Source organism: Homo sapiens, chromosome 2, assembly GCF_000001405.40.
Source record: "Homo sapiens chromosome 2, GRCh38.p14 Primary Assembly".
NCBI lineage: Eukaryota > Metazoa > Chordata > Mammalia > Primates > Hominidae > Homo > Homo sapiens.
Window position 1 is genome coordinate 217930736 of NC_000002.12, and position 21225 is coordinate 217951960.

At 54.0% G+C, this 21225-nt stretch overlaps 1 protein-coding gene across 19 annotated transcripts in view, besides 5 other annotated features; it reads right to left on the reverse strand.

Annotated features, from left to right (window-relative positions):
* Window positions 1-21225, reverse strand: part of TNS1 (tensin 1) — a 234192-nt gene that overhangs the window by 130945 nt on the left and 82022 nt on the right. For 3 of the 19 annotated variants that reach the window (NM_001308023.2, NM_022648.7, XM_024453081.2), the window contains exon 1: window positions 13130-13335. The exons of 14 other annotated variants lie outside the window; for them this stretch is intronic. Coding sequence is in view for 2 of the 5 variants with exons in the window: in NM_001438867.1 (NP_001425796.1) it covers window positions 6240-6245 (6 nt within the window). In the remaining 3 variants the exon portion in view is untranslated. Of the gene's footprint in view, window positions 1-6239; window positions 6811-13129; window positions 13336-21225 lie in introns of those variants that run through there. 2 more of the 19 variants (NM_001438867.1, XM_024453080.2) reach the window with 1 other exon arrangement.
* Window positions 2569-3068: an enhancer, noted in NCBI's record as "H3K4me1 hESC enhancer chr2:218798027-218798526 (GRCh37/hg19 assembly coordinates)". NCBI's record gives its function as "activates a minimal SCP1, AML or CMV promoter by ChIP-STARR-seq in primed H9 embryonic stem cells {active_cell/tissue: H9 hESC(primed)}" and the evidence as "EXISTENCE:reporter gene assay evidence [ECO:0000049][PMID:30033119]".
* Window positions 3738-4246: an enhancer, noted in NCBI's record as "H3K4me1 hESC enhancer chr2:218799196-218799704 (GRCh37/hg19 assembly coordinates)". NCBI's record gives its function as "activates a minimal SCP1, AML or CMV promoter by ChIP-STARR-seq in primed H9 embryonic stem cells {active_cell/tissue: H9 hESC(primed)}" and the evidence as "EXISTENCE:reporter gene assay evidence [ECO:0000049][PMID:30033119]".
* Window positions 4247-4756: an enhancer, noted in NCBI's record as "H3K4me1 hESC enhancer chr2:218799705-218800214 (GRCh37/hg19 assembly coordinates)". NCBI's record gives its function as "activates a minimal SCP1, AML or CMV promoter by ChIP-STARR-seq in primed H9 embryonic stem cells {active_cell/tissue: H9 hESC(primed)}" and the evidence as "EXISTENCE:reporter gene assay evidence [ECO:0000049][PMID:30033119]".
* Window positions 5713-8105: an enhancer, noted in NCBI's record as "VISTA enhancer hs1764". NCBI's record gives its function as "enhancer in: branchial arch[7/9] | heart[7/9] | other[7/9]" and the evidence as "EXISTENCE:transgenic organism evidence [ECO:0001131][PMID:17130149]".
* Window positions 13029-13874: an enhancer, noted in NCBI's record as "H3K27ac-H3K4me1 hESC enhancer chr2:218808487-218809332 (GRCh37/hg19 assembly coordinates)". NCBI's record gives its function as "activates a minimal SCP1, AML or CMV promoter by ChIP-STARR-seq in naive H9 embryonic stem cells {active_cell/tissue: H9 hESC(naive)}" and the evidence as "EXISTENCE:reporter gene assay evidence [ECO:0000049][PMID:30033119]".

Below are 21225 nucleotides of genomic sequence, written 5' to 3' on the forward strand. Positions count from 1 at the left end.
GGACTAGGGGGAAGCCAGCCGCCATGCTAGAAGAGGAGGTGTGAACAGGCAATATGGAATGCAGGCTTCAGAGTCGCCTTCTCCAGCAACCCAAAAAGCAGGAAAACCCCACCCCTTCTCCCTGACCTATTCTGAAGCAGGGAGGCTGGGGGACAGGGCCGGCAGCACAGAGAACAGAGCTTCTAGGAAGTTCCTAGAAGAGCTGCTCAAGGAAAGGGCTGTGGTCTGTGGTCATGGTTCTAGTGGAACTGGTGTGAAAGGAGGTGACAGGCGTGGGGAGCGAGACCACGTGTTCACTCAACAATGCCCACTGAGTGCCCCTCCATGCCAGGTTCCCAGCTCTGGAGACAGATGAATGAGGATGGCCCCGCCCGGGAGGGAAACTTGTGGCCCGGTGGGGGAGACAGGCATGTAAACAGAGAATTGTAAAACAGCCCCAGTAATGCTATAATGGAGGTATGAAGAGGGCTAGGATTTCACTGGGATTCAAGTCCATCTGTTTTTCCACCCAGAGCGAGGCTGCCCACCCCAACCCCTCACTTTCCACCAAGGGTTTCTGTTTCTAGATGGAAACTTGAAGGGACAAAAGTCTTTGACCTTAGCTGTGCTAGAACAGTAAGGCAGGAAGGGTGCATGGGAAAAAAATCTAAGAGCAGTGGGAAAACCCAAAGAGCCAAAGGTCTCAGGCAGTGCTGAGGACCATGCCAACCACCACGGGGACATGTGAGGGTAGGTGCGGGGGGCTAAGCCAGGCCCAAAATAGAGAATTCTGAGGCTGGGGCCACACTCAAATCCACACAGACATCAGAGACCCACACAGACATCAGCCCCTGTCTTCTGAAGCTAGGCCATCGTCTGTTTGCCAGCCAGGACAAGGGCGTAGAGACCTCTCCACTTTCAACACCTGTAGAATTACTTGCAAACCACAGGTGTTCACCTCCCTGTTTCCTAATTTCAAGGATGCTGTTGATTGTATGTAGCATCATCAACTGAGTAACAGTTTTTGAGGAGGAGGGAAGGCTACTTGAATTGTACACATCGATCCTAAGGTGCATTCCATTTTCGGAAACGTTAAAATGTTTTTTAATAAAAGACATCTCAGATTTGAAGAAGTGCCTTACATTTTTGACTCTTCGGGTTCCCTATGCTGCCTGTATCACTGTCCTATGTGGTGGACAACCAGGAAATCCTTTCTGATGTTTACCTATGTCTCCTTTCAAGAATTTAAGGCTGGCCAAAATGAGGAACAGGGTGGAAAGCAACCCAGCCACATATTACTTAGGAAAAACATCCCACATCCTCAAAGCTGATCTATGGCTTTATGTTCCCTGGACGTCCCCAGAGGTCATTTTTTCTCATCGCCTGACTCCAGACAGCTGTGCACTAAACCCAAACCTGGTACCTGGGAGCAGATTCAGCTCCATGAGATCGTAACTCCTGTTTGCGGGTCCTCATTTCCAGATTCCTGAACACACTAAGAGGCCATGAGTTTCTAACTACAGGGTAAGAGGAGGGATAGAAAAAAACCTGGACTGGGAGTCAGGCATGGGCTCAAATGCCAGTTTTGCTACAGACCAGCTATTGATACCTTATTTAACTTCCCTGCGTCTCAGTTTGCCCCTCTGTAAAATGGGGGTGAGATCATCTTTGCAGAGTGGCTGGAAGTATTCAATAAAGTTGACTTAGGTGCCATCAGTAAAATTGTCTGGGATACAGAATATGCTTAGGAGATGTTACTTCCCTCTATGTTAACCTGGAGGTGATTAATGGCATTTTCTGCACCTCAGCATCCTCATTTACAGACCAGTAAATTCTATGCACTGGGCTCAGTTCTAAGCTTCTTATGCGTCTCAAAGCACGTAATCTTCACCTCACCCCTGTGAAGCAGGTCCTATTCGTATCCCCATTTTACAGAAGAAGAAACTGAGAAACAATAGAGGGAGAGGAAGGAGCTGATTTTTAAGATCCCATCTATTGTCAAAGTCAAAGAAAGCATGGGACACTGTACAATGTGAGAACTTTCCATCAAAAAAATCCACCGTTTTTCCTGAGCTCTGAATTCTTCCATGCATAAGCTTCAGTTATCTGAAAATTCACTCATGTGGAAAACTCCTGGCCCCTAGATGGCAGCGACAGGAGGCAGTGCAATTATTCTGCACAATTAGCGCGCATCGGGGACTGGTGTTCTGGAACCCCATCTGCTCTGATGGACGAGGCTGCACCAGGAGCCCCCGCAAGCAGAAAGTCCCGAGGGCAGGACAGCCCAGCTCTCTGTTGCTCCTTGAAATCCATCTGGGGCCGAGTGGCGGGAAGCCCCCTCTCATTTCCAATTATCAGGCAGCAGAGGCTTGACGCACAGCCAGCACTGAAGGCCAGAGTAGGCCTGGCTGTCACCAGCATTGTTTGGCTCCATTTGACGCATATCCACCCTTCGTAATGCTTCCTTGCTCCCAGGCAGACCTCAGAGATGCACGTATCTGAAACCAGGTCTGGAGGGGAAGGAGGAGGGCAAACGGAGGGGCGGAAGAAGACCTGGCTCTCTGACTCGGAAAACACTGAGAGATTTTAAACGGATAGAAGACAAAGCTGGCATCAGCTAAAGACCCGGTGACCCAGACACTGCAGCCCTGCATACACACAGCTCAAAACAGCCCAAGGCACACACAGCGCACATGCCTGACCACTGCCGGACCCAGATACAAAGTCACCCCCTGGTGCTTGGGCCCCACCCCAACCAGAGCCACACAAACAGAAACACATCAGCACCGCCAACACATCCACTGGCAGGGACACTCTGCATGGCCCCAAGCACAGCCAATTCCAGGAAGCCAGAAGGGGAAAGGAGCCCATATGTACAGACTGGAACAGGGGGAGCATGAGCCAGCAGAGATGGGGGGAACAAGAGCAGCCCAGGGCCCCTGAAGCACACCCAGACCTCCCAGCTCCTTTCAAAGTGCCCACTGCAGCCTTGGCAAGCAGCAAATTCTCCTCACACTTGCCTGTCCCATCTGAGCCCCACCCATCCTTCTGGAAGAGCAGGTGAAAGGATAAGGCACACGGGCAGAAGCTGGGTGGGAGGTGTCAGAAATGGAAGAGCAGGTGCACAAACAATAGGGTGGAGTAGATAGGAGGATACGCAGCCTGAACATTATGGGGTGGAAGCACAGGTAGCTGGAATTTTAGGGACAGAGGTGGTGAGGAAGGGCAAAACAGAGTTTAGGGCTCGGGACAACCATATTATTTGAACACATACAAAGAACATGTACTTCATACAGATTATCCCATTTAATCCTTCCAACAAGAGATTCAACAAGCAGTAGCCTCTTTTCACATATGAGGCTACTGAACCTTACAGCGGAGAAATGTGTTGGCCAAGGTCACACAGCGATGAGTGGTTGAGCTGGGACTCAAACCCAGGACAGCCAGACTGCAAATTCTACACTCCTTGAGGCAAGCCAAGTCACCTGGATGCTTGGAAGACAAGACAGAGCATCGATGGAGCTGAGGGGGTGTGAAGGCATAGGTGATGGGAGGGGCTGATCCAGAGAAGCACAGAGAGGCAGAGGGGATGAGGTGTGGCACCCTGCTGGCCGGGACCCCCAGCTCCTAAGGAGGACAGGGAGGGAGGAGCTCAGGCTGCTGTGATTCAGTGGCTGGGCCTCCGGGGAGAATTTCCGGAGCCCCAGACAGCTCTGTGCAGTCTAGGAGCCACCTACCCAGTGGAGACACTGAGCCATTACTCACAACTGTTACTCACTTTGCCTCTGCACCCCCATCCCCAGCACATCACTTCCTCCCACTCTGTTCCCTTTGGGTGGCCAAGGCAGGCAGCAGATCTTCCCCAGTCCCCTCCTTTGCTTCATTGGCTCCAATCCTGCCAAGCGTATCCCCACCTGAGTCACTGGGACAGAGACGGGAGATTCTGGCCAGCCCAACCCTGACAGCTGTTGCCCTCTGCTCTGTTCCAAGAAATCAAGCTGCCTGGAGGAGTGGTCACTGGGCAAAGAACGTTCCAATTCCAGTGCTGGAAGGACCTCCCCAGCATTTCAGATGGCATCCCAGCAGATGCCTGAAGAGCCAACAGGATCCCACCTCGATGCTGGACAGCTCTGCCAAAGGCCCCAAGACTAGGAGCCTCTCTGTTCAGAAAGATCCATGCACTTACAGAATTTCAGCACTGCTGAAAAGAGAGAACGCCCCTAACTCGAACTTCTCATTTCGCAATTGAGGAAACCAAAGCCCAAAAAGTGGAAGCAATTTGCCTGAAGTCACACAGTGCCAAAAGGGACTAGCAGGTCACCTGACGCCCCTGCCACAGGTCCTTCCGCGGCACTACACAGACCTCTCTCTCTGCCCCAAGTCAGAGCAGGCCCCTGAAGTTGACTCTGTCACCCTCCTGTTGCAAAGCAGTGCTGAAGACGGGAGATCTGAAGGCAGGGTGAGGAGGGGGAGGAAGGAGTTGCAGCCAGACAGCGGTTACTGGGGAGGAATCACTTTCCAACAGTGAAGGGGCACTGGACTCCAGGCCACCTACTCAGAACAGTCTGCCCAGGAGGCAGGGAGATGGACTGCAGGCCCTCCGGAGGCTCTGGAGCTCAAGGGCCAGGCCCTCTGGCAGGAGATGATGGGAGGAATTCTTAGGGTCCCAGCTGGGAACTTGGGAGAGTCATGGCCTCCTCTCCAATCACCTCTCCTCCCCCAGCCCCCACCCCTCACCCTGGCTCGCCTCTGCTCTCCCAGGGCTCCAGCCTGGAATCCAGACCTGACCACTGCCTCCACTCCCACGCTTGGCCTAGCTCAGCCGGCCACAGCAGAGGCAGCCACATGTGTGGTGGTGGAAGCAGTTCGTGAGCCACCGAATTCCTTCTAAGCCTCCAGAGGAGCCTCATCTATCTCTTGTGCTCTCCCCTCCCACTCTGGGCAGTTGCACTCATCCCAGCCAAGAAACCCCTGCTGCCAGCCCCACTCTCTCCCACTGTATCAATAATAGTAATAACCATAACAAAAACAGCAATAACAATCACCAAGGTTTATGCAGAACAGCCTGCATGCCAGACCCGCTCTATTTGTTTCCTGCATTTTACAGGTGAGCAAAGGGAAGCACTGGCAGGTCAGGTAAGTTGTTCATAGTCATATAGCCTGCAAGAGATGGGGTCAGGATTCACATGCAGACCGTGTGGCTGCAGACACTGTGAAGGTGACCCCCACATCACACTGCCTCATGAGAGGTCATTGCTCTAGGAAATAAACGCTGCTGAAATTCCCTCTTCTTCATCAACACACAGTCCCTGACCACCTGCGACATGCCAGGCACCTGGCCTTTGAGACACTCAACATTCCATCTAGCTCTGGACAGGCAGCCACTCTCTGCACTCACCAGGCCACGTAGAGCCAGGCTGGGCATGGCTGCCTCCGAGCAATCAGGCTCCTCCACCCTGACCAGGGAACACTCCTGTTCGTTCATTCATTCATTCATTCAACAAACAGTAAGGGGCTACTGTGTTCCAGGTCAGATGGTAAAGGAGGCCCCCAAAGGATCCTCTCGGTGCCTTAAAAATATAAGCTGCCTACAGTCTACCCTCACTCCTGCCTGCTGCAGTTCATCCATCCCAGGGCTGCGTGTGAAGACTTGCCAAGGATGGCTCTCTCCTGGCCTGAAAGATCTCCCAGGAAGGAGATTTCAGGGGCCTCCTTGGCCTCCCAATCCAGGAGGGGAGGATGGTATGCTGGAAGGAAGCCCAGAGGGATCAGGGAGATGAAGTGACTTGGGAGAGGATTTTCCAGCCCCAGGGCTGAGGAATTTGAACATAGGATTCCAGGAACCCAGGCCCTGGCTTGAGGCCTGCCCCTAGGACTCCCCTGCCCAGTACAGCCGTCACAGTGGCCCAAATGCCCTTCCTAAATCACAGTCTCATCATGTCTTCCCTGTATTAAAATCCCCTGCCGCTCCCCTCTTTAACCTGCCTCAGAATATCCCCCCATCTTGAGCCCCAAGCAACAGTTTCAGGCTCTCCCCAAAGCCATCCTTTCCCACACATGCCATTTTAAGCCTCCATATACTGTGGGTTTGCTCCATGCCAGGCACTGGGCTGAGAACTTTACAAATAGCATCTCATTTCATACCCACGCTAGCACTACAAGGTTGGAAATATGAATCCTATTTTACAGATGCAGACACTAAGGCTCAGACCCATGTAGCAGAGCTGGGAGGGAGACCCACGCTTGTTATTTCTCCTTACCTGCATGCCACTGGGCCTCTGCACATGCCTTCCCCTGTGCCTGAAGAAGTCTTTGCCCCTTTTCCTCCCCGCAAAACTCCTTGCCAAACTTCAAAATCCATCTCAAATGGTACCTCTTCTCCAAAGCTTCCTCCGCTCTGCCAGCTCACATGAGCTGCCTCCTGCTTGACATTCCCACTGCGTTTTGCAGCAACACTCTGTCTACTCCCCTACTCCCCTACTCCCCCCACTAGATCGTGTCTCCCGGTCTTTCCAGCCTCATACCCAGCACCTTAACTGGCATAGGGTGGATGCCCTCAAAGGCTTTTAAAGTGAACAATCCAGCGGCCCCGTGTGCCCAGCTGGACTCAGCTGCTGCCGCACAGCGTCCACAGTGGGTCCACAGGCACTGCCCCGGACCCAAGGAGCCAACCCCTGGGGCTGGCCCATCTCTGCCACCCCCAAATCATAGCCCGAACCCCAGCTCATGTCCCTGGGTGGAGGCTTCTCCCCATGCCAGCCCCCCTTCCTGGCTTGGCGGCCCCTCTCACTCAACCAGCTCTGCCATTTCTGGGAGTCTCAGCCGGTGATTAGGGCCCTAATCAGCAGGACTTCCTGCCAGCGACTGCCAGAGTTGGGGGCAGGGCGGGGAGGGAAGCAAGGTCAATCCAAGGTGAAGTTCCACAGCGTTGGGACTGGGGGACGCCCAGCAGAGGCCCCGGGGAGATGGACTCACAGACCCCCCACCCCTGCACCTTTCAGCCCTTCATTTACAGTTGAGGGCACTGAGGCCCAGCGAGAGAAGGGACTCAGGTGGGACTCCTCCAGAGGCTAGGGACAGAGCCAGGCCTAGACTCAGATCTGCTCACTTGAGGAGCACTGCTCTCCCACCCAGATGGACCCAGGGTGGAGCCCCTCTTTCCGCTTCCCCTGAAGCCCTCTTCCCCACCCCTATCCCCTAACCCAGCACCAAGCCCAGGACTGAACACAAAAACTGCTCCCATACAGGGTGGCTGGAGACCAGCTGATTGTCCAGGTCTGGTCAAGGTCAAGGGGTAAAGATAAGGCCCACCTCTACATGAGAAATGGCCTAGAAATTGGGCAGAGGTGAGCAGGGGCCAAGGAAGGGAAGCAAGATAGGGCCAGGCTGAGCTCAGGAACACTCCCCAGCTGTCATCATCATCAACCCAAGCCCATTCTTTCTCCAAAAAAAAGCTTAATGCCTTTTGCAGCTGCAACTGGGCGGGCCAGGGGTCCGGAAATGGAGTTCACCCCCGACCCAGAGCAACCCCAGCCTCCCTGGGTGGGAACTGCGTTGGGTGGAGAATACAGCTTGGCAGGCCTTGAGGGCTGACCCCTGCTAATGAGGAATGTCAGGGGCACCGGAAAACAGGAGACCCCAGAGAGGGCAGAGGCCTGGGACAGAGAGGGATTGTGGCCAGGAGCCCTACCCTTGCACGGGTTCAAAGCTCTCAGCTTATATGGCATGCAGGAAGAGTGGACATGGTTCTCCCCTACCCACTACCAACAAGGGACTGAATTAAAGCTGCATCAAGAGGAATGCCAGTTAGATTTTGGGGGGACCTAGAGGGCATAAGACACAATAATTTGAAGCAGTTATTTGGGGATCCTACTTTAAAATGTAGATGCCATATCTATGGGTGTAGCCCATGGTCCAGGGCAGGCTTCCTGGAGGCCAGGTGAGGTCCTTGCTCAGCCTGGGAGTCTCCGATTCTGTGACTCTCATCAAGGCATGGGATGGGATCCCAGAAGGGGAGCTCAGGCTGGTTTATAATAATGCATCTTGTTTACAGTGATGGCAACTTTCTCAGAGTCCTCTGTAAACACAGATCTGCATGGGCTCCCTGAACAGACAAGACCTCCGGAGGGCCGCTCAGCTCCCTGTCTGCCCTCTAATTGCAGAGAGAGACAGAGTGGGGGAAGAGAAGATTCTTCCCTGGGATCTGATGTTAGGACCTCTTAAGGGAAAATGACACCAGCATCTTCTCCACTCTCTGGTCCCATAATTCTCTTCATCTTAGAGATGGAACAACAAGACAAGAGAGAGAGAACTCCATCACCACCACCACCAATAATAATAATAATAATAATAACTAACCTTCATTGAGCATCTGCTATGTGCCAGACACCGCCCAAAGTGTTTTAAATAAATTAACTCGTTTGATCCTCACAACCATACCTTGAAGCAGACATTATCCCATTTGATAGTGAGGAAACTGAGGCTCACAGAGGTTCAGTCACTTGCTGAGACCACAGCTGGTAAACCGGGTCATCATAAGTTGATCCCCAGCAGTCTGGCACCAGACTCACATTCTCTGCCTCAAGACAGACCTCTCAGTCCAAGTCTAACAAATCCTCACCAGGCCTCATCAAAACCCTCACCCCTCTGCCCTCCATTAGCCAGCCATCCATGTTGAGCGGCACTCTGCCAAGCACAGCAAGGATCACCAGAGAGGCCAGAGGTGCAGGTCTGCCCTCAAGGAGCTTGTAATCCATCCAGAAGACAGGTGAGCAAATGGGAAACTTGCAAGGATCACAGAACGCTGTGGGGTCCCATCTTCTCTGCAGGAGAAGATGAAGGTCTAGGAAGGTCCCTGGGGGAAATGGACCCAGGTCTGGGGCCCCATAGTGGCCAAAGGGCCAGAATTCCCCCCAGCCATTCCTGTGACCCCTGACCCCCATCAGCTCCCCAGGCCCCCGCCTTGCTGGTCCAGTCCCTCCTGTCTCCCACACCCAGGGCTGAGCTACAGGCTTCCAGGCCTAAAAAGGCAGGGACTGCAGAGCCCAGACTAGCCCTGGAGGCGGTAGCTCCAAGGACTGGCTCAGGCCCACCCACCACCCCTCCCACATGGGCTCCAGCTCCACAGAGACAAGCCTCTCCCCTTGAGGGAAGTTGAGGTGGGGCAAGTAGGAAGATGGCCAAGGCCACCAACCTGGGTAGAGGCTGCACTGGGGCTCTCTAGCGTCCAGCAACCTCCTGGACGGGAAAGCGCTCCAGACCATTGGAGGGAAGGAAAGAGGGAAGGGCCGGTGTGACCTTGCATAATGGAAGTGTCACCAGGGGATGTGGGCAAAGCCTGCCAGGCTGGCCACCCTGCCACCCCCACCTCCTTGTCCCAGCTCACTTATGCCCACACCTCTGCATGCCTAACAGCCCTAGAAAGCTAAGAGCCATCTGGCCAGGGAGCTATTGAGCGAGGGGCCATTGGTGGATAGTAAGGGGGACAAAGTCTAGGCCAGTCCTCCCAAACCCCAGTCTCCAAAAACCACCCTCTCCCTCCACCCATTTCTGATTTGCTTTATTTGGAGGCTGGTAACTGGGAGGGCTTTCCTGCCTATCTCCTCTGCCCCCCACCTCCAAACATATCGCTCAACTGGGCCTCAGTTTCCTGGGGTCAAAGAGGCTTTTGGCTCCAGAACTGAGCCAAGAAACCAGAGGCACTGGCAGCCGAGAGCCTTTGCCTGTCCCCCTCGCTCCTGCCCTGGTGCCTCAGGCTCACGGCACACTCAGGTCTCCCGATCCTTCCCTGCACAACCCTCCCACCATCACTGAGTCTCTTTCAAACCCCAGGAAAGAGTGTCGTCATTTAGCAACTTCATGTAGTCCCTGACTGGAGAAGAGGATTGGAGTTAGACATCGGAAAGGACCTCCCTCTCAGATGAAACCAAGACTGTGAGGGGGCTCCCCTGGTCGGAGGCGGTGGTTGAGTTGGGTGATCTCAATCTCCTACTGTGTCACCCTCTCTGGTCAGGAGAAAAGGGGGCACAGGCATCCACAGAGGGGCTGTGGAGGAGGCTGGCTGGTGTAGGAAGGATGGAGTCCAGGGTGGGTTTCAAGCCCACCCGGAAGCACTCACGGGCACTTCCATCATGGGAAGCCCAAACCTGTTTGGTTTGGGGAAAGCTTTGGCCCCAGCCCTCTCTGGTTCTCCTCTCACTGCCCACCTCAGGGAAAGCAGGTTTGGAAAGGCCTGTGAGAGGTGACTGCTCCTCCCCCACTCACCCTCCTAAGAGGCCCTTGAGAGCAACTGCCTTGCCTTGCACCCCTCACCCCATGCCAGTTATGCAAGCCACTTGATGCTGCCCGGACAACCCGCATTATTTACAAATGTGGAAACTGAGGCTCATATGAGACCCATGCCTGAGTTTTTCTGCATCTCAGATCCTGGCACTGCCCTTGGTCTACTATCTCCAGGCTGGCTAGGGAGGCCTGTTTTGGGGAGGCCAAACTGGGCAGGGGTTCAAGATGCCCAACATCCCAGCACCCACCCCCGGTCCTTGCACACCAGCCCCAGAGCCCCTCAACAGGGAACATGGGCTCTAACTGCAGGGATTGGGGGTGAAGCCTGTGGTGCTTGCTGTCCCCTCAACTCCACACTGTCACGCAGCCCACCACAGGCAAGGGGCAGAGTGGGCCAGGAGGCATAGGAAGAACCTCAGAACCTTTGCAGGAAGCAGCTGGGTGCGGACCTGGTAGGCAGTTGAGCCACGGGTGTGAGGGAGGGGCACAGTGCCAGGGCAGAGCGTCGGGCTCTTGGTTCCTTACACATTGGCAGGAAGGAGGGGGCCCCTGCGAGTGGTCTGCGCCCACGCCCCAGGCCAGAGGACACAGCTTCCTGATCCCCCATTCTGGTGTCAGAGAACTCCCCGACTCCAAGTATCCCAGGCCCTCAGCATCCCAAGAGACCATCCAGGTCATCGCCTCTAACCACATCCCAGCCCAGGAATCCTTCCAAGCCCTTATTCGGCCTCTGTCTAAACTCCCCCCAGTACAAGATGCTCTCCACCTTACAAGATAGCCCATCCTCCTGCTGACCCACCAGGGTCCTTAGGAAGCTCTTCCTTCACCTGAGCCAAGATTCCACCTCTGAGGCTCCTCTCCCTTAGACCAAACAAAAGTTCTTTCTGGCCCCCCTTGACTCCTGCTCCTATCTGGGTAGAAACAGGAGCCTGAGGGTCCCCAAACTCCAAGGCTTCAGCCACAGCCCATCAGAGGCCAGAAGTTGGTCTGCAAAACAATAACATCTTCTCTGAACCCATAAGCATCCCAACCCAGCCCCGCTCCACCTGGCCACCAGGTTCTCTGTGCTTATACTTCCTGGACACCACCACCTCCCTGGGAAATTCTTCACTGGGGCCTTGCGGGAAGTGAAGTGTGAAGAAGCATGGGATGAGGGATGGGGAAGCAGAGCCAGAAGGGCTCAAGGCCAGGCGCCTGGAAGCAGAGGGTCCCAGGTTGCCTCCTCCACCGCCAAGAACCCTCAGCTCCTGGTTACAGTGCTGGCTCCCAGCCCTGGTGCTCGGCCGGACTGGCCGAGACCCTCCCCAGCCTGGTCCAGCCCACTGCTCTCCAAATCCCTGCCCTCCATGGGCAGCAGAGTCCAAGCCAACCCCAAGTTGGGTCTCCAGTGCTGATCCCATTCGGGTCTCTCCCCCCAACCTCTCCATCTCAATCCACATCCTCCCTCACTCCCTTCCACAACCCTGGGCCAGAGGTTTCAGGCAAGGGGTGCCCCAGCTATAGCAAGTACTGAGGTCCAAGGAGAGCTGTATTCAGGCTTACAGGAGTGGCCACCAGCTGGCAGGGGCAGGTGCAACTTGAGGTCACATGTGAGCCACCATGGTCTCCACCCACCCCAGGCAGCTTCAGGAGGGGAAGAGAGGGTGCTCCCCCTACACCTTCCCCACTGCTGCCACATTGAAGAGGCAGCTGGGACTTCCAGAAGAGAAGCCCTTGTCTCCAAAGACCCTGGCACCCTAGTTTCCAGGTCCCCCTCCTATTCTCACCCCCACAACCGCCTGCCTGCCTGCCCTCCTCCTCCATCTCCTCCCCACCCAGCACCCATCCTATCCCCCAACCCCATCCCCTCCCCTGCAGGGAGCCCAGCCTGGGAGCACAGCAGGCTTCTCCGGGTCCCCCCTATCACCCCCACCCAGTTTCCTCTTCTAGAACAGTAGCCAGCCTAAAACATCTGGGCAGGCAGTCCTGGCCCAAGTCCTGGATTGGGGGTTGGGGGACTGACACTGAGGTCAGCTCTGTATGGATTCTCCAGCCTGGGAACGGGTGGCAGGCAGGGCATCAGAGTCAGAGGACAGGAGGGGTGGGGGGAGAGGGAGGAGCAGGGGGAAGGCAGCTGCCCCTGTCTGTTCATTAACCACCTGGATTAGCCATTTCTGCCCAGAGGGGTGAGGAAGGAGTAAGGGCTAGTGGTTGGAGAGGGCAGAGGGGGCACTTCTGCCAGTCTGTGCCCATGGGCAAGGGAGCAGGGCCCACACTGAGGAGTGGAGATGGGAAAAGTGCTTTGAACCCTAACCTTGCCAGGCCTGCCAGCCCCTCCCTGCAGCCAAGGTCAGACCTCAGGGAGCTAAGTGAGCCCCTAGAAGAAAGGTGCCCTCACAGCAGCTCAAGTGGGTGGCAGGGAAAGAGATGAAGAAGAAAAAATACTCATCCCCCTGCAATGGGCAGGCAAGTAGCAGAAGAGACTCCCAAGCTTCCCCCTCCCTTGGTCCCTGTGTCCCTCCCTACTCCTGTAGCTGGCCTCAGTCCCAAGCAGCCACTGACACCAGCAACTTCCCCAGCAAACGAAACTCCTTCTGACTGGTTGCTCTCTCAGAGCAGGGACAAGCCGCACCCCAGACATCCCTGCCAGAACCACAGAAACATCTGAAGACAGGGGACTGACAAGGTTGGCCTCTGAACAGCTTGCCTGACCCAGAGACATGGGAACAGGCAGGCTGACCTCACCTTCTCCTAATCTGATCTGTGGTCTTGACAGCATCAGTATCAACAGCCCAGCAGCCCTGGCCGGCTCCATTTCCCTCTACACACAAATATAACACGCACACTCACACACACGTACACCATCACACACGCACATTCATTCACTCACCTTTCCTGCAGAGGAGCCACTAAGTCAGGTGGGTGTCTGGGCCAAGGGACTCCCAGGACAGGGGCGGTGGCCAGTGGCGGAGGCAGCAGCTGTGGCTGGCAAGAAGCTGGTTTCCCCCAGAAGAAGGCAGCGAGTGAGCCTGTGTCCAGGCAGGGAGCGGGGTGCAAGGAGCAGAGCTGGTCCCAGGGCCACTGCTGGGAGCAACTGAGCAGAGGGCTCTGCTAGTCGGGTTCCCTCCCAGGCCAGCCCAGGGGGCGGGCCAACAGTGCACCGCCTCCTTCCCGGAGCCAGCCAGCAGTGGGCCCCCTCCGCCAGCCATGGCCTCCTTTAACCCCTGCAGTGCTCTGCTGGCTGCACTCTAGCTGGCTCTGGGAAGGCCGTGTCAGGGCACAGACACCTGGGGCAGGAGATCACCAGGGAATGTGGCTGCCCCTCCTTCAGCCACTGGCCCAGCAGCTTCCCTGGGGACAGGACGGGAAGGGCCAGAAGGCTTGGGGGACAGGGGTGGGGAAGCGGGCAGGGAGGGGTCAAGACTCTATAGAAAAGACGCAGGTGCAGAGAAATGGCCAAAGGGCTTCTGGGTGGAGAAGAATGTTTGCTGAGATGGTGATGATGATAATAATAATAATATAGCAACTCTCAGCTTTTCTACAGCACTCTGCTTTCCGCTGTTTCCAACTCATTTTGTGACTGGAGGCCAGGAATCTCACTTCTGAACCTGCTTTTTTCTTAGCTGTCAAATGTGAGATAGTAATCTCTGCTGTTTTCTCTGGGCTGAGTTAGGACATTTGTGACTGTACATTCAAAAGTCATTTAAGCTGAGCTCCAGTTAATGAAATACATGCTTCAACTCTCTTTGAAATGGATCAAAAAATAAGATGGATTGGCAGAAATGTGATAAAGCAAATATATCAAAGTGTTCATTGTAGGAGTTTACCATATAATCATTTCAACTTTTGTACATGCATGAAGTTTTCCATGATAAAAATAATGGGGGAAGTGATGTGAAAAGTTTAGAGCACCATATGAAAGATAAAAGTGAAGAAGCAGATAGGATTATTTAGAAAGGAAGGGGAAAAGTTATTTGCTACACACCTATCAGATGCTGGCCACTAAAGACTATTAACTCTCACTTAGTCTTCTAATCACCCGGTTATTATAGCTGAAGATCGTGACCTCGGAGCACAGAGGTGACTTGTGGAAGTCCAAGCAGGACTGTGCGGAGGACCTCACACCTGAACCTGGCTGGCTCCACAGCCAAGCTCCACACCACTCAGACATCCAGAGGTTGAAAGGCCCTTCCTTCTCTTCCGCATCTGGGTCAGTGGCCTGCACCTCCGAGCCTCAGTTTCCTCTGCGACAGAAAGGTCTTTAAGAACTTTTCCGGTCTTAACACACACTAATTTTATTAATTCAGCCAAACCCTTCCCCAGGCTTCAGTTTTCCCCAGAAGTACAATGACAGGGGAGTCCCTGAGAGGGGATATGATTTTGGAGCATGTGGGGCCAGAGCCACAGGGAGATGGCCAGTACTTTGGAGGGCTGCCTCGCCCCCAGTCAGAGACAATGAAACCCTTGGGGATAGGGGAGAGAAGGACAGCTTCTCAGGACCTTATATGGGGAGGGCAGAGATAGAAGCATCGCTCCACTCATCCTCTGCCTCCAGAGCAAGATTTCGTCCTCTCCTAGCTGGAAAGAGGGTCTGGGTTCTGAGTCCCAAATTCCAGCATCCAGAACCCACCAGCTTCAACAGCAGCCTCAATCTGTGAGAGTGTGGATGCTGTCCACAAATGGCAAGGATGGTGAAAGCAGATGGACTATGGGGACACTTGGCCTAGTCCTCCCTAGCCGTCGGCCCAGCCTCAAACCAAGTCTCCCACTCACTGGTCCCAACTCTACGGCAAAGGTGACCCCAACAACATTATCCTCCTTAACCCCTACCTGCCACCCCCACTGCAGACTAAGGGCTCCTCTGGGGCTTGGGTCAGCTCTGCTTAGATGAGGGAAGTTAGGGGATCCCGGGTCAGTTTCAGCTCTCTAGAGGTGGATGTGGGGATTGTGCTATAAAATTAGAACCCCTCCCACTAGCAGGTATCCGGAACAGCAGAATCCTCCATCTTCCCCTTCTCTTCCTTCCAACCCACATCCGTATTATCCCAACGGACATCAAAGCGTCCCAGCTCCCCACTGCCTGCTACTTCCAGTCCAAGCTCTGCAGTGGAACATCCCAGCCTTTCCAACCTTGTCTCCTTCCATCCTCCAACTTTGACGGTCAGGCCTTTCTCGTACACCATTCCCTCTCCTCCCTATCAGCATTCAGGGCTCAATTCAGAAGCCATCCTCCCTGGATCCTTCTCCAGACTCACCACTTGGTGGGCACTGTCCCCTCCTCTGAGCACCTGGGGCTTCCGCGGCTCACTAACGCCCTGACATGCAGTGGGTCAGGTGCACTTCTATGGCTCCCATTTTTGGAACGATAAGGGATTTGTTCATTGTCTCCCTTCCCCTTTCCTCATTTGGTCAGTGCCCAGCACAAGGCTGACACATAGTAGAGTCTCAATAAGTGTGGAATGAATAAATGAATGATGAAGAGATGGATGGATGGATAATCAGTTCATGATTGAATCAAAGGGCATTTTAAAATGCTTAATACAGCACTAGGCTGTACCAAAGATACTCATATGAAGACTTTTATTTTTGAAGCTATATAATCGCAGGCAGAAACACAGGCTTTGCTAGGACCCAGGACATCCCAGACACATCCCACAAAGGTCTGTGACAGATTGGGCTGGGAGACGGGGCGACCTGGAAGACCCCTCCTCCAGCCACTCTCAGGAGACTTTGGAGGTTACACTATCCATCCCCTACCCCATCATCACCCCTCTTTCCAGCCTGCCTGCTCCAGCACCTGGGTATAGAACTATAAACCCAGCAAGTCCCTTGAAACCTTAAGAAAGGAAGTCAACAAGCTAGAGGATTTCACAGAAAAAGAGCAGCTTTCCTCCTTAATTCTAAGAGCTGTCCCGCAGCCCATCATCTACCCTCAGCTCTCCCCAGTGTCATTTCCACCATCGCTCTCTCTCTCTCTCTCTCTCTCTCTCTCTCTCACACACACACACACACACACACACAGTAAAAACTGCTCTCTGAACAAGTCTGCTCAGCCCCCTGGCTCCCTCCTCCCAACTCTTCCTTCCAAGCCCCTGAGGACCAGGGTTCCCAGGGTCTCCACCTCCCATCCCCAGCCTCCTCCCCACCTCCTTAAGCCAACCCATGCTCCTCTCCTTGTCCCTACCTCCCTCCCTCCCACCCCAATGCAGGATTGCACATCTGGTTCCAGTTGCGGTTGGTCCCTTCAAGGGTAGGCCTGGGGGTTTCTCATAAAACTGAATAATACCAGCCTTGGAGCCCGATGGAACTTGGGGGAGGGAGGGCAGGAGGCTGAAGGGGTGGGGGAGCAAGAAAAGAAGACAGGGAGAAAAGAGGTGAGGAGATACAGAACCGAGAAAGGAGATGGCAGTGCCTGGCATCGAGCAGGCGCCCAGTGGATGCCTGTGAGCTGCAGACAGAGGCTGCAGAAACAGATGGCAGGAGAGCCAGGAGCAGAGAGAATGGGACAAAGAGGGTGTCAGAAACAGAGACCCAGAAGGAGGAAAGAGATGGAGCTGGGGGTGGCGGGACAGAGCCTGGAGCAACAGAGAGGCCATTGAGGAGAGCAGGGAGCAATGAATTGTGTGTGTCGGGGCCAGGTGCTGAGTTAGGCACTTCCACTGGAAGAGAAGGGACGCGACAGAAAGGGGACAAAGGACACAGAGAAGCAGAGAAGAAAGGCGAGGAGAAAGTCAAGAGAAAGATGGGGCAAGGTCCAAGCTTCGTGAATCCAGTTTTCCCTGGCCTCTCAGCCCCAGCCCCACCCAGGGCCCCTCAGTGGCCGGGACAGGAAGGGGAGTTCAACCCAGAGATGCCTTCATTTGTTCCTTCATTTCACTTTAATCAACATTTAAGCTCCTGCCCCGCGCCAAGCTTTTCCCATGTGCACTCCACACAGATGCGCGTGAAAATGTGGAAGTGCCTATGATTCTCACCTCAGTCTTAGAGATGGGCTCAGAGCAGTGAAGTTAAGCAAAAGCACAAAGCGGCTAATGAAAGAGATAGAATTTCAATGCAGCTCTTCCAACTCAAGCCCATGTCACCAGGTAACACAACTAGGAATTCCAGGTCCCAGCACTACCTCCGGAGGGCACCACATCACCCGACTCCCACACTCAAGGAGCCAGACTCTCAGGTTCTTACAGCACTAAGGTGAAGTTCCTCTGAGCTGCGCTAAAAGCTGACAAGATTCCCAGCAGGGAGGGGTCGGTTCCCCAACTCTTCCTGTGATGGGTGGGAAGTGTTAGTCTCTGGGGCAATTACTGGAGCCGCCTCCTCTAGCACCCTGGGCCCTCACTCTCTTCTTCCCCCTCCATCACAGAGAAGGAAGGGCCACATGCCCAGGTCCCAAGGGGAGAGGCCACTGGGGCACCGCTCTGCTTCCTTCCCAAGATGTCCTGGGGCAGAGGCTATTCTGGGCCTCTGAATCCTGCTAGGCCCAACACACCCCATAGGGAGCCAGGCCCCAGGGGCCACTCTAGGCATGCAATGTCTATGCATTTGAGCTGTACCTTCCCTCTTCTGACCATGCCCTCCCCGCTACAGCTAGAGATGAGTTCGGGCTGTCTCCCAGGGTGCTTCCATCTCAGGATCACCCCCTAGTGGGGCCTCCTCACTAGGGCTCACTCCAGAGATGACCCCAGAAGCCACATTCACGCTGCTGCCCTGAAGCCCCCCATCCTTGCCCTTCCTTCCTAATGTCAGGTCTTCTTCTATGTCTCATCCTTAAAACTCAGGCCAGAAGGAGGCAGGAGTAGGGGCACCCCCTGCTCACCACTGTGTCCTCTATGACATCTCATTGGCATGCATCTGCATTTGCATCCTCTCTCAAAGTGCAGAAATGTGCACAGCGCCAGGCCCTTTGCTGCACATCCCCACCTCGGGAAGGAGAAGTGCTGGGCTTTCCACATTCCAGCTTCCTACTCAGATTTGTACCATAGTGTCAGGGCAGAGGATGGAAAGGGAAGGAGAGTCGGGGGAAAATGGCCCACCAACAGCTTATCCCCAAGGCACACACTGGCAGCCCCTCCCTCCTCTCACCCTGCCTGTTTCTAGCCAGAAGAGCACTTGGGTTCAGCACCAAGAGCCTCAGACTAGGAGTCAAGGCCTCAGGTTCCAGCCCGACTCAGCCTCCAACGCCCTTGGTGACCAGAGGAAATTCTCAGTCCCTCTTGGATTCGATCTCCTCATCTGATGGCCTTAAGGTCTCTTGGAGATGCCCGGAAACATGTTTCTAGGCAGACGTTGGTCCTTGGCAGAAAGTACTGCACACAAACCCCTGTCTCCCCTGAGAAGCATAATTTTAAAGCAGGAAGGACCCTGGGGCTCTAGCTGCCTCCAGGGCAGGGTTTCCCTTGGACCTATCCCTGCAGAGACCACTGGCATCAGCCTGGATTCCTTCAGGGAGCCCTCCTTCCCATAGCATCACACCTACCATCCCAAACCCATTATTTTGAGGCTTCTAGACCAGATAACTGGGGAATCCCCAGATCTAGACTATCTGTATCTCAGGAAGGTGTTGGCAGGATCCCTGATGAAATTCCTGGAGACAAGAGAGAAAGCTGAGTAGATTCCTAGCCAGCAAGCAAAGGGGTGTTGATGAATAGATCAATGTCAACTTCCTGACTTGCCAAAGGGCTCCATCCTCTGCCCTGGCTTGTTCAACATACTTATCAGTAACTTAGGTTACAACTTAGAAGGGAGGCTTACCAAGCACACCAAGGAACAAAAAAAAAAGAAAAGAAAAGAAAAAAGCACAGGAAAAGCTAAGATGCTGAAGTGAACTGAAATGCAAAGCTGACTTTATAAATGAGCCAGAATTAGCAAGGGAACATTTTTCTTGGGGTAATGTCCAAAACAAGGGTTCCAAAGCCATAAAAAACCTGAATCGATAAGAGTTCATACAGCAAAAGGTCTAAAATTTATTGAAAACAGAAATTCAGTTTAGCTAACAGTAGGATATGCTTGCCCCCAAAAGGCACAGGCACTTTTGGTTGTATTAATGGAGGTTTAGCATCTAGACCAAAGGAGATAAGAATTCTACTCTACTCCACCAGACACCATCAGAAATGTCAGTTTCTTTTCTGTACCCTATAAGCCAAAGAGCATCCAGAGGAGGACAGCAGTAGACACTCAGTAAATATTTGTTGAATAAAAACCACAAGGAAAGGTTAAAGAAACCGAGCCCAATTTTTATTTCAGATAATAAAAAACACAGCAAGCACCATCAGCACCTTGAAAAAATTGTCTTGGGAAAGTGAACCACAGCAAATGCCACTGCCCACGTGCACCTCCACTGTCTCTCTGCCCCTTCATCTGTGAACTCCTTGAAGCCTAGGGCCATTTCCCATTCATCTCTGAATGGCCAAGAGGTAGAAACTACCAGGAGCAGCTGCTAGGAACAGGATAACATCCTGACAAGGCCAGGCCTGTGGGCCCTGGTCACTGGGGAGCGTGCTGGCCACACCCCGAGAGCTGACCTTTAGCCAAGCTGGCTCCTGGGCTGGGGGAGGTGAGGAGGTCTGGCTGGTGGCGGAACACTTGGCTCACATGTGCTGTCCCAGGTAGGCCCTGGTGCTGGCCAGCTGGTTCCCACTCCCTAGGCCTCCCCTCCTGCCACCATCTAGTAGCCCTATGGAGACCGATCCTAGCCAGGCATCCTCGCCCAAAGCCCAGAGCTGTCCACTGGCCCAGGTCCAAGTCTGGTTCCTCTCTCTCTTCTTCTCTTCCTTCTTCTGTTCCCCTCCCTCCTCTGCTGTCACCCGCACGGCCCTCTTCCTCCTCTGCACTCTTCTGCGCAGCACCTTCCTTCCCCTCCCCTGCTTCAGTTTACCCCTCGGCTCACTTTCCATCTCCCCGAGCCCATCCTCCAGGGCTCTGCTCATGGCCAATCTCCCTGCCCCGGGCTCCGAGGGAAAATCTCCCCGTTGCTGCACCCTCCTCCGCTCCCTAGAGTTTTTAGTGATGTAGCACTTTCAGGGTTGGAGAGAGCTGGAAACTTCCCTCCTGAGGACTTCGGATCCACCCCTATAGAAAATAATCATCACCTTGCTCCACTTTGAAATGGGGAGCTATCCCTCCAGGGGGAAGGGAATCACAGAAACCTGGCCCCATCCTACCAGGAGTGGAGAAGAGATCCCAGGCTTTGGAAGTGCACCGACCACATCTGAAGCTGTGTAACCTCGAGCAAGTTATTTCACTGCTCTGAGTACTGAGTGCAAGATCTGGCCTAGAGCAGCTCTCCATAAATGTTGGCTCCCCAGACATTCTCCTCCTTCAAAGAAGCCGTCACCACCCCCATCCCAGAATTACGATTCATCTCTCTGTCATGTATCTCCCTGCCTAATAATGCTCAGATTTAGTGAGTGTTTCCCAATTGACATACTGTTCCTAGAGCTTTGTGGGGATTAACTCATTCTAATCCTGCCAGCACCCCATTGGGTATTGACCTTTATGAATCCCATTTTACAGAGGAGGAAACTGAAGTTCAGAGACATCAGCTATGTTTGCTACTCCTCTCCTAACTACAGCAGCTGCAGCAAGCCGGCAGGGCCTCAGGGCCTGGCTGGACCACATTCCAGCATATCAGGGCTCTCCTTGACCTGACAGGGGCTCGCCCGCCCCTGCCTACACACCCCAGGCCCTCAGGGCTCACTCCCCATCCTCAAGGCGGCTCCCACCACTGGGGGAAACCTGCTTCCTGGAACCCTTGGTTTTGCTTCAGGGAACAAATCTCCCCAAAGCTTTATTCAACACACACACACACACAGCCACGCAATCACTGGAAGTCTCCCATAGTGGTAGCTTCACAGGCTAGACGTCCCCAGGTTTTTCAGTTTCTGTACTCTTCCACATGCCAGGTGCTCAGTGGTTCTTTCTCTGGTTCTGATCCTTTTCCAGTTGGCTCCATCCCATCTGTCCCTCACCCCTTCATTCCACAAGTACTTT